We start from the raw sequence: 12,918 nt of genomic DNA, 5'->3' as shown, positions 1-12,918 counted from the left end.
GAAGTACAATTCCTGGGTCTTAGGCTATGTGTTAGTTCAGATTTAATAGTTCAGATTTAACATTCAGATTCAGACATCTAAAATGGTTATACCAATTTACATTTCAACAGCAGTGCATAAGATTTACAGTGACTCTGTGTTGACATGTATATTCTTTTACATTTAGTCATTTTTGGTTGCATTTTTGTTGTATTTTTCTTATGAATTTAACTTACCTAATGGCTGAGTTTGAGTGTCTTTTCATATATTTATTGGTCATTTGAAGACATTCAATATGTTCTCTTTTGAAGTGACTCCTTATTTTTTAGCCAATTTATCTATTGAGTTATATTTCTTTTCTTAAATTGTTGTTCTTACTAATCTGTAGAAATCTAATATATAGGTAAGTAGATGAAGGTAGATAGGCAAATAAATTTATGTATGGTTATATGTATATGGTTATATGCAGCATTATATAATTATATGTAACATGTATCTATATATAATCATTTTATATTCTATATATATATCAAATTATTTGTTGGCTATATATACAACAAATACCTGTGCCACTGCCTTGATTTTTTACTTTAAAAAAATTTTCTTCTCTTTAATGGGGTCCCTTGATGAACAGAATTTCTTAATTTTGAAGGTCAAATTTATAGAATTTTCTTTTAATCTTAGTACATTTAATCTCCTGTTGAAGAAAATTCTTGAAACTACAAATAGAGAAAAATACTCCCTCATGTTTCATGTAGAAGCTTTTATTTGTTTAATATCCCTCCAACTGAAATCAACAATCCATCTGGAATGTTAGGTATATTGAAGAAAATAGGAGACAAGATATATATTTATTCTCATGTACATCCAAATGCACTGGCAACATTTATTGAGAAGTCTGTCCTTTACCTGCTGACTGATCTTCACCTTTCTTTTTTCATAAATCCAGTGTTTAGATCAGTGTGTAACTCTGTTTATACTTGCCACTATGTTTCCGTTGGTTTGTCTATCTTATTACCAATACTACACTGCCTTAGTTACTTTAACTATAAATGTATCTTGACATTTGGTAACATTAGTTCTGCATATCAGGTAAACTAGATGCATCATTACTATTCTTCTTCAGTTTCCTTTGGTAGTTTTATATATTTTTAAATTTCTCAAAATATTTTGAAATAATTTAAATGATATCTATTTTAAAATATGCTGAGCTTTTAATTAAGATTGCATTGCATCTACAGACAAAATTTGCCCCATCCAGAAATGTTTTCATTTTAATTGATTTAATATTTTCTTAATAATATTTTATATTTTTAATGTAGACGTCTGCATATATTTTATTAAATTTATTCCTGTGTATTAAATAAAAGTTAATGTTATTTTTCCATTAACTTGGTGAAAATTCAATATAATTTTTATTACTACTTTGAAAGGCAATATGTCTTTTTCTCTCATTTTAAGAATATTTATATTTGTTATAAATATTCAGCATTTTCACTGTGTGATTTTCTTTGTGTGCCTGTTTGGGATTCATGTCTTATTGAAACTATGACTTGAAGTTTCTTGGTAAATATCTCTTCAAACATTGATTCAAATTATTTTTCCCTCTCTTTTGTGCACCAATTAACTTTTCAGACATTTGCAACATGTCTTATTTGTCTCATTATACAATTAACATTTTCTGTCCTGTTTTTAATGTGCTATTCTTAGTCATATGTTTGACCTCTCTTCTATTTCTCTAATACTCACTTCTGTTGTTTATAATCTGTTGTTAAAGCCACAAAGGAGTTATTCATTTCAGTTGTTAACTCTTTATTCTATAATTTCCACTGCATTTTAAGTATATACTGATTCCCTGATAACATTATCCATCTTTAATCTATCTTACTGAACATATTAATCCATTCCAAAGACTACTAGAATTATCATATTGTTGTTTGTTATACACCAGAATTCTGCCCTCCTGAGTCTTGGGTACCTTGGCAGCCCTTCCACACTTTTAAAAGGATGTGTTTGTATTTGCCCATATGTTCAAGTTTTTATCAATGGGGGAGTTGGTCTTCAACAAGACACTCCATGATCACCAAAAGCAGAACTACCATTATTTCACAAATTAAGATGGAACGCATGCATAATATTTAGGAAATAAATATAGACATAGATCTCAATTAAATTATACATTTTATTCATCTAATTTTAGAGAAAAAATTAGATGAATAAAATAAAAATAAAATAAAAATAAAAATGATAAATAAAATGATAAAATAAAATAAAAATAAAAAATGATGAAAATAAAAATGTCAGGGTTTAAAAACTCTGCTCAGATTTCCCCTAGAACTTACTATGATTTTATTTTCTTGTAAATGCTAGAAATCTTTGGTGGTACATGGAATCATAGGCACACACCTGCATTGTTTAGTATATTCGCAAATATCAACATCTAGGTCACAGGACTTTCCACTCACAGTTGTGTACATGTACCTCAGTTCACCACATTTATTTTCTTCCTAACCACCGGCATATGTGCCAAGAATGCAACGTGGGAAGGACCTGATGGTGAAGACTGGGACCTACCTAGCTAACAACATCTGTTGCAACAAATGTTAGGAGAGAAGAAATGGGCAAGCCTCCTAGAAGCTCTGAGCAAAGAATATTCAATTCAAGAACAAGAGAGCATCATGGAAGTTTGAAGAAAGTGCTGTAAGGAAGGACTGCATATTTCAGTTGGACATGAAAAAACAAACAGCAATTTACCAGATAGCATTTACAACATTGAAGTAGAAGGAAAAGGAGAGACTTAGAGACTAGGGGGCTTATTGTAGTGATAACTGCCAGAAAAAGAATCATTGGTCAGTAAAGACATTAAATATATAAGGCATATTGATGAGTTCAAAGTACCTACAGCATAAAACAAATGGATGACAGTGATGAAAGAAAAGACTGTGGAAGAAGATCAAGACTAGATTGGGGAAGGGATTTGAACATCCTCAGTAAAAAGACAGGGCTTTATTATTTACGGAATAAATAAACACATGGACTTTGCTATAATGTAAATAAAAGTGATTATAAAAATAACCATAATCATTGAAACCTGCCATATTTTCTAAAGAATAAAGAACACATTGCATTTTCCTGAAATATTTGATTTATTTCGCTTATTTTTGCTGCCTGGAACATTTTTGCCTTGTAGAAATCTGTATGTGCCCATAAAGTAGACAGAGTTAAATCCTATTAATAATTAACATTGTTTCAAAATTGAAATCCATGGTTCATTGTTTATACAGAAGAGAGCTCTGATATCATGAATGAATAATACAAAATATTACACAAAGGAATTCAGACTCATTCTGTGAATAGAATGGCAGACAGCTTTTGGATAAGCTGCACAATTATTTTACTAAGAAATGAGTCTGTATAAAAAAAGAAAACAAAATAAGCTTACGGTACATAGATTAATATTATGAAAATGGTGGAATTTTATACTTTGGTAAGAATATTTTTGAATAAGCCTGCTTGCAGAAAAAACGTTATCTCTTCAATTATCACGAACCTGTCGTTAGAATATAGATTCAGTTCTAAATAATCATTTAGAGGTCTGTGACCTTTAAAATGTTATTTAAATAATATGAGCTTCATTAGTCCTATCTGTAATACAGGAATATATTCAGGTTGCAGAATTTTTTAAAAGAAGAAATGTTTGGCACAAAATAATATCTCAGTTCATGGATGCAGTTTTCAATTATCACTTATTTTTTTTCTCTCTTGAGGCCATCTCATTTTCACATCCAAATATTTGGGGATTCATGTTTGAAAGGAGAATGATGGGATGACTCCTACTTACTATTCCACAATGTCAGCAACAAGTGTACATGTTGAAATTTTAGGACTTCATATACAGTTCTATGATAAAAATGTTTTCAATGTACCATGGGCATATTGTAAAATGAAGCATATCTGTTGATGCTTGCTAGAACTGAAAAGCTTCATAAAAGTTCTATGCAACTAATTACTTTTTATTACATTAAAATTTTTGACTAGTAAATAAATAGCTGATGCTTATCTTTATACATTTATAAAGTGAATTTATTTAATGCTTTATCTTAAATTTTCAGTGATAGAGTTCATTATTTTAAAACAGTGTCACTATGTGATTCTCCTTTTGTAAAACCACTGGGTTGTGTCAGCCTCACCTTAGGATCCCATAGATTTTATTTTGTTTTTTATCAAACAAATAATGTAATAAGCAAAAGTGAGTTCTGGTGACTCAAGGCAATATCTATTGTTTCCTCATGGTAGAAACACCTCCTTGGGTTCTTTCTTCCAATTTTCTAGCACGTCTCCTCAGTGTTATTTTTCTGCCCAGACCTTCTCAATTTGCCTCTTCAGGACTTCCACAGAGAATATCTTCTCTTTTCACTTTAAACTATGCAATCTCTTCTTAAGCCACAAATACATTTGCTGAATATATGCTGATGACCCTAAAAATACACCTAAGTCAGTCCTTTCTCCTGAGACCCAGCCTTTATCTGCCTTTTTCGCATTTCCATGTAGGTAGAAGTAAGTCAAACCTAACCAGACTGGATATGTTTACCACAGAGATCATGACATTTGTCCTTATTCATGAACATCTTGACTCCATGTGCATGGTTTCCATGCTTAATAAAGGACATGGGTGTCCATCATGTGATTCAACATAGAAACCTATCAGATACCCTTGACTTTCCACTGTTTCTATTTTACCCACCCCCTTCTTCTTCTCTTGCTCCATCTCTAAGGCACTCCCTAATCCATCCATGTCTCTTACACCCCACTGTACTTAACATTGTCTAAATGACCTGATTCTGCATCGAGACATTAGCAAGAGTACCGATATGGTTTGTCTGTGTCCACATCCAAATATCATCTTGAATTGTAGCTCCCATAATTCCTACATGTCGTGGGAGGTATCCAGTGGGAGGTAATTGAATCGTGAGAGCTGTCTTTCTCATGCTGTTCTTGTGATAGTGAGTAAGTCTCAGAAGATCTGATAGTTTTATAAAGTGGAGTTTCCCCTACGGAAGCTCTCTTGCCTGCCGCCATGTAAAACGTGACTTTGCTCCTCATTCAATGCCTTCCGCCACGATTCTGAAGCCTCCCCAGCCATGTGGAACTGTGAGTTAATTAAACTCCTTTATAAACTGCCCAGGATTGGATATGTGTTTATTAGGAAAATGATAACACAGTAATACAAGTGCCCTACCCATTTTATGTATACATTCTTGATATTTTACCATGGATTCTTGCCTTAGTAGCCAGAGTGATGGTTTTACATGAACAATCTTTTAGCTACAATCTCATTTAGAATCTCAACATTAAAAAAATTGCTGTGAAATATAACTAATATACAGAAGTGTGTAAAAGATGTTAATAATGTAAAGAGCAACAATAAAATAGATAGCTGTGCACTTACCACCAAGCTAAGGCACAGACCATTAAGTGCAGCTTCCACTGACCACCTCTTTTTTTCCCTATGCCCAGAATTAACCACCATCCTCAAACTTGTGCCAATTACTCCCCACAATTTCTGTCTTCCTCATTGTCCAATGATCTATTCCACATTTTTTTTTTTGAGACAGAGTCTCCCTCTGTCGCCAGGCTGGAGTGCAGTGGTGCGACCTCAGCTCACTGCAACCTCCAACTCCCGGGTTCAAGAGATTCTCCTGCCTCAGCCTCCTGAGTAGCTGGGATTACAGGCACGTGCCACCACGCTCAGCTCATTTTTGTATTTTTAGTATAGACGGGGTTTCACCATATTGGCCAGGATGGTCTCAATCTCCTGACCTGGTGATGCGCCCACCGTGGCCTTCCAAAGTGCTGGCACAGGCATGAGCCACCGGGCCTGGCCTCCACATTAAAACTCTATCCAGTTTGTTGTATTTTAGACACCATATAACCAGGAAACATGTTGTGTTTATCTTCTGAGACAATGTTCTTTGACTCGATATTATGCTTCTGAGTGAGAACCAATGCTATTAATGCATAAAGCTGTATTATTGTTTCCTCTTTAATTCTTAATGTAGCTTAGCATTATCTTTAACTATTCATGACTTACATAAATAAGCCCTCTGTGTCCAAGTCATATTACTATTTTAAAGCACAGCTAGATGAAATTTGGTTGCACTGTATCTATTATTTACACCTATTTTATGCATCTCTGTATCTATTCTGTATCTATTACTTGCATCTATTACATTTGCCTCTATTACACTGAAATGATATTTGTCTATACTTTTCTTTGTGTTTGTGGGTATTATTTTTGTTCACATTTGTTTTAACAGGTACTTTTATTTATTTACTTATTTTTAGTCCTAAAAGATTTTCTTCTATATTTTAAGAAAATAATCTATTTTTCATTGGGGAATACTTTATTTGTTTTAAGGCAGTAAAGTCAAGCAGTTAATTCTACATTGTAAGAAACATCCTGGCTAGGCGCGGTGGCTCACACCTATAATCCCAGGACTCTGGGAGTCCCAGGCGGTGGATTACCTGAGGTCAGGAGTTCAAGACCAGCCTGGGCAACATGGGGAAACCCCATCTCTACTAAAAATACAAAAAATTAGCCGGGCGTGTTGCACACCTGTAGTTCCAGCTACTCTAGAAGCTGAGGTAGGAGAATCTCTTGAACCCGGGAGGCGGTGGTTGCAGTGAGTCGAGATTGCACCATTGCACTCCAGCCTGAGCAACAAGAGCGATACCCCATCTCAAACAAAACAAAACAAAACAACACACACAAAAAAACAAACAAACAAACAAACCAAAAACCAAAAACCAAAAAGCATCCTAACTCACTAGATACAAATCCTGGCTTTGCTATTTGTTATTTGTTAACTATGTAACCTTCAATAATTAATATACTAGCCAGTCATGTGTGTGTGTGTGTGTGTGTGTGTGTGTGTTTGTGTGTGTGTGTGTGTTCTGAAAACAAAACAAGAAAAAACTAGTTAAAATCCATCGCTGTAATCCTGTTTTATTGGCTCAATCTTAAAGGAGCAAGCAAAGATATAACCTGACACATTTACCAATTGACTCTGTAGAACTGACACGGCAAAGTGAGATGGTAGAAGGTAAAGCCATAGTTCCTGATTTCAAATCTTATCTCTGCTACTTACTGGCTGTGTCATCTTGGGAAGCCTATAACTCTGTGCCTGAGTGTTCTCATCTGCAAAATATGCTGGATAATATTATTAGTAGGCTCATATCTTTGTTATACAGGTTAAATGAGTTCGTATTTGTAAAGCACAGTAGTTATCAGAAGATTTTTAAGTACTATATGTACATGGGTTTGCCAAATAACTAAAATAAATAAGATGAATGGGTTGACTTTCATCTCCCTTGCCTCCCTCCCCACCAGATATGTCTAACATCCTAACTGAAAGACAAGTTCAAATCTCTGGTCTTTATTTACATGTCAAGACTGTTGGCATATACCTAGTACAGAATTTTGTTTTATTTTTGTACCAAGATGAATTACTCTCTGACTTTGCTTTTTTATCTTTTCAGTACTAGAGAAGCTGCTTATCCAATTCTCTCAGTCTGATCCTAGGATAAGATTTGTATAAAGCACCCTGTGACATGCTCAATACGTAGGAAGTGCACAAACTTATACGCCAAAACTAGTTAAAGGTATATAAAATATTAAATTTTATTTAAGTATGTAAGTTTCTCATTAAAGATGCCTAAGTTTAATGACCCATGGGGATGAAATATCTAGGTATGTATGAAAAAATAAATAGATACTTATATCCTAGTCATTAATTTTCATGTTAAAGTTGAATATGCACAATTTTGTTGTCAATCAAAACAATATTCCTTTGTATCTGATATAAGACCTATAAAAAAAGAATGATATAGATTTTCTGTCTCCCTTCATTTTTTTCCTGTAACTTACATTTTTTATTAACTTATCCTAAAGTATCTCTATGGATAGTTCATCCCATGAATATAAATTTATCACATGAAAAATACCTTGCTACATTAGGCATTTTCAGAGTAAGGTATAATTATCTTCCATTGTCTCTTTTATAAATTAAAAATAGTTTCAGCTTATCTATAAAAACTCTAGAAATTTCCACTTAATGGTAAAGATCAGTGAAACAACCGACAGAAAGGTACTTGGAATAAATATAAAAACCTTTTTCACATACGAAAATAATTATAACTTTCAATGATATGAGAACAATTGTAGAAAAAATCTATTTTGGAAATAAAAAAAGAAAAGCTTCATCATTTCAATTCTTATGTGGTACATCATATTATCAAGTCTTTTTTGATGTGTTTCATCAAATTCATTTTAATCTATCATCTAGATTTCAGTGTTATTTCCATAGCTCTGGAAGAATGGGACCTTTTTTTTTTTCCTTCTCAGCCTTATAAAAATAGTTGTCAGAACTGCAAAAACCATCAAATTTGACAGACAAGCAGGAACTTCATTAACCTGCTCAATCATTTATTAACCAAAACATTTTCTTTAGCTATAAAATTATGCATAGAATCCCCTGTAGTGAAACTCTCTTCAGTCTGGATAGGAATGTTACTATGTCTGGGGATTTACCTGCCTTTGGAGATATTGTTTGTCTTTAGATGTCTATTGGAAAGAAAATAAGGGATTTTTTTTACTTAAGATATCCTAACACTTAAAAAAATTAATGCTACCTTTTTCAGTTCATGAACTACTGAATTTTCTGTTTTTATAGATACACAAATAGCTTTTGTTTTAACTGCTCCAAGAGCTAAACATAGTGACATTACTGAAGCTGTTTTTAGCCTCTTAATTTTAGAAATCAGTGACTTTCTTGGTTGCCCTAAATAAGGATGCAAGGCAGTCATATAAATTCTGACCTTCTCAACACACAGCTGTAGGTTCTTTCAAACTTGTCAGCAAGACTGCACCCCAGTGGGCTGCCAGAAAGAGTGTATGCTATAGGGGAGAAGCATTGGTCTAGGCCTTCTAGACTAGTCCTTCTAGACTGTGGGCTTATCTCTTATGATAAGGCACAGTGTGTATGGATTAAGTTAGCAAATTTGGTAGAAAACTGTTCTTTAGTTCTACCATAATGCCTAAAGGGTATATCAGAATATAATTCTGAAATATAAGACTCAAATGTATTTTTGTATCATAGTCAAATTAGAATATTTCTAATTCCCTCTACAAAAAAGGCTAAAAATGAATTAGAGATTTTTAAAACAGCACAGATAATATCTTTTTTTTCTGATATTCTAAGCTGAAGGAGAAACAACTCACAAGTTCAATCTTGGTAAAACTTTAAACAAAGTTAAAAGTTCAGCCCAGTAAAAGAGTGAAATTGAAATGTCCTTAACACAAAGAAATGATAAATACTTGAGGTGATGAATACTCCAATTGCTATAATTTGATCATTACACATTTTATTCCTGTATCAAAATTTCACATGTACCCCATAAATATATACAATTATTATGTATCCATAATAATTAAAAATAAAAATATTAAAAATATTTTTTAAATGACTGGCTTGTGTAAACATCAAACTTCTCTGATACCTCCCAGTTGTTCTTTTGATTGAATGAGATGCAAGCAAAATGTTTGAATTCTGTTTCCTGTAAGTTTTCAAATAAATTCCAGAAATAGGAACACTTTTACACTGTTGGTAGGAATGCAAATTAGTTCAACCATTGTGGAAGATGGTGTGGCAATTCCTTAAAGATCTGGAACTAGAAATACCACTTGACCCAGCAATCCCATTATTGGGTATATACCCAAAGGAATATAAATCTTTCTAGTACAAAGATACACGCACATCTATGTTCATTGCAAAACTGCTCACAATAGCAAACTACTCACAATAGCAAAGACATGGAATCAACCTAAATGCCCATCAGTGATAGACTGGATAAAGAAAATATGGTACATATACACAATGAAATACTATATGGCCATAAAAAGGAAAGAAATAATGTCCTTTGCAGGGACATGGATAGAGCTGGAAGCCATTATCCTTAGCAAACTAACATAGGAACAGAAAACCAAATACCACAAGTTCTCACTTATAAGTGGGAGCTGAACAATGAGAACATATGGACACAGGGAGGGGAACAACACACACTGGGCCTGTCAAGGGCTGAGGAGAACGGGGAGAACATTAGGAAAAATAGCTAATGCATGCTGGGCTTGATACCTAAGTGATGGGTGGATAGGTGCAGCAAACCACCATGGCACACATTTACCTATGTAACAAACCTGCACATCCTGCACCTGTACCCCGGAACTTAAAATAAAAAATAAAATTAATTAAAAAAATAAAAATTTATTTTATCCCCAATGTGGTGTGCCAATATCTTTGACATCATGGTGTTTCCAGTAATATAAATGTATATAGACAAAAAAAATAGCATTTCTTCCATTTTTCTTGAAAGTGTAAAAGGATGAGGGCACATTGGCTCAAGCCTGTAATCTCAGCACTTTGGGAGACTGAGGTGGGTGGGTTGCTTGAGCCCAGAAGTTTGAGACCAGCCTAGGCAACATGACAAAACCCTGTCTATATAAAATAAAATAAAATAAAATAAAATAAAATAAAATAAAATAAAATAAGCCAATAAGCTGGGCATGGTGTTGCGTGCCTGTAGTCCCAGCTACTTGGGAGCTGAGGTACGAGGATCCTTTGAGCCCAGGAGGCAGACGTTTCAGCAAATAGCTGAGATTAGCAGTGAATAGCAGCGAATAGCTGCAGTCAAACCTGAGCAAAAGAGCAAGACAAATAAAGTGTAAAAGAAGAACTAAATGAGGTAATTCTTGCCTTGTCAATAAAATAGCTTAGAAAACATTCTGAAGGAGAAGTAAACGTGATTGTAAGCCTCAAATTGTTTCTAGAATTTTTGTATAAATTGTTCAAAGAAGGACACATAAACAATAAGTAAATGATAAAAAATTTAAAAAAATAAGAAGGCACATAAACAACAGACAAATAAAATAGATTTGCAAGGATTCAGATAGTAGAGGTTTCACCATACAACAACCTTACAAGTTGCAAAAGAATTGAGAGTTACAAATTTCAACAAAAATATGGAAACCATTAAGACGTTACAGAATGGCAAATGCATTAACTGGAAATATTAGAACTGAAAATTACAATACTCACAATTAACAAATTAATGGGCAAGTATAATAGCAGATATAACCATCTCATGAGATATTACTTTTCCAGCACTAGAAGGGCTAAAATGAATAAAAGAATCATAATATCACATTTTAATAAGAATGTTCAGCAACTGAAGCTGCCATACATTGCTGGAGGAAGTACAAAATTGTACAGCCATTTTGGAAAATAATTTTTCAGTCTTTGAGAAATATAAAAATGACTTTATGCCCTCCATGGGGAGAAAATAAAAAAAAATCCTTAGAGTGCCAATGAATAACATTGTATAGAAGGAGTGATAGAATTAGAAAATAGTTACTGAATAATTACACTAATAGCTAAAATTTTGATGAGAAACAGAATACTTAGATAGATTGAACCTATCTCCCTAGATATTATTTATTAACTAAAATGTAAAAATAATAATTTAAAGGAGAAGAAACCCAGTTTACAACATCTTAACAAACGATCAAATCTATCATTACCAAGACTGGGACAAATGGACATCATATACCTCCTGATACCATGTACCAAGAAGGACACACTATCATTTGAGTTGTATCCATGCCAAAAATGTGTAACTTGAATTTAATAATGATTCAAATTCTGGAGCACTTAATAAATAACTCTCCTATAATATTGAAACTGCTTTTGTGAAAATTATGATGGTGAGAGAAATCTGACATAGAAATGTTATTAAAGTGAAATAAATCACATCTAACAGACTCTATCTTGCTTTTAACCTCCAAGCTGCTGTTTTTCACTCCTGGAGTAGGCTAAACTAACTATGGGGGGAGTTTAGTTTCTAGTTTAACTGTTTTTGTTTGTTTGCTTGTTTGTTTTTTTTTTGTGTGTGTGTGAGAGAGAGAGCGTCTCACTCCATCACCCAGGCTGAATGCAGTTGTGCGATCTCAGCTCACTGCAACCTCCACCTCCCAGGTTCAGACAATCCTCATGCCTCAGCCTCCCGAGTAGCTGGGACTACAGGTGTGTGCCACCACACCCAGCTAATTTTTGCATTTTTTGTAGAGATAGGGTCTCACTATGTTGACCAGACTGGTCTTGAATTCCTGACCTCAAGTGATCCGCCTGCCTCGGCCTTCCAAAGTGCTAGGATTACAGGCATGAGCCACTGTGCCCAGATGAGTTTAACTATTTTTATAAATATGATAACAGCCCCTTCCCAAAACTAACCCCCTCCTTGCTCAGGGACAGTAACTGCCTTTGTAAAACCAACAAATTTGCCACAGAGTTAAAATTACGGTTCAGGAGTTATGTAATTAAAGGTTATGAGACTTGTAACTTCCCCAATTTCTGCTATAGATAATATCACTATTGTAAAACCTAAGATTGTGTTCGAGTTACTTTCCAGACCCTTCATTCTGAAGAGCCAGCTGACACCACTTGGACAAGTAATCCAATCCAAGTAACTGGTTCATCTGTTCTTGTGACCCCACTCAGGAAGTGACTTAGTGAAAGAAGACAGTTTTTACCCACTGTGAGTTTATCCCCAACCCAACCGCCAACATTTCCCATTCTCTACAACCCTGCCTCCCCACCAAACTATTCTTGTAAAAGCTGATCCTCTGAGCTTTTGGGGAGGCTGATTTGAATAATTACTCCCATCTTTCTGCTCAGCTAGCTCTGAGATTATGAAATTATTTCTCTACCGCAAAATCACTGTCTCAGTGACTTGGTTTTATCTGTGCAGCAGACAAGAACCTGTGGAGCAATTACAATATTTAAAAAAGTCAAGATGATCAAGCAAAATTCTAGAGTAAGGGTGACT

This window comes from Homo sapiens, chromosome 18 (genome assembly GCF_000001405.40).
Source record: "Homo sapiens chromosome 18, GRCh38.p14 Primary Assembly".
NCBI classification, from domain to species: domain Eukaryota; kingdom Metazoa; phylum Chordata; class Mammalia; order Primates; family Hominidae; genus Homo; species Homo sapiens.
The sequence above is the reverse complement of the archived record's forward strand: the minus strand, read 5'-3'. Positions refer to the sequence as shown.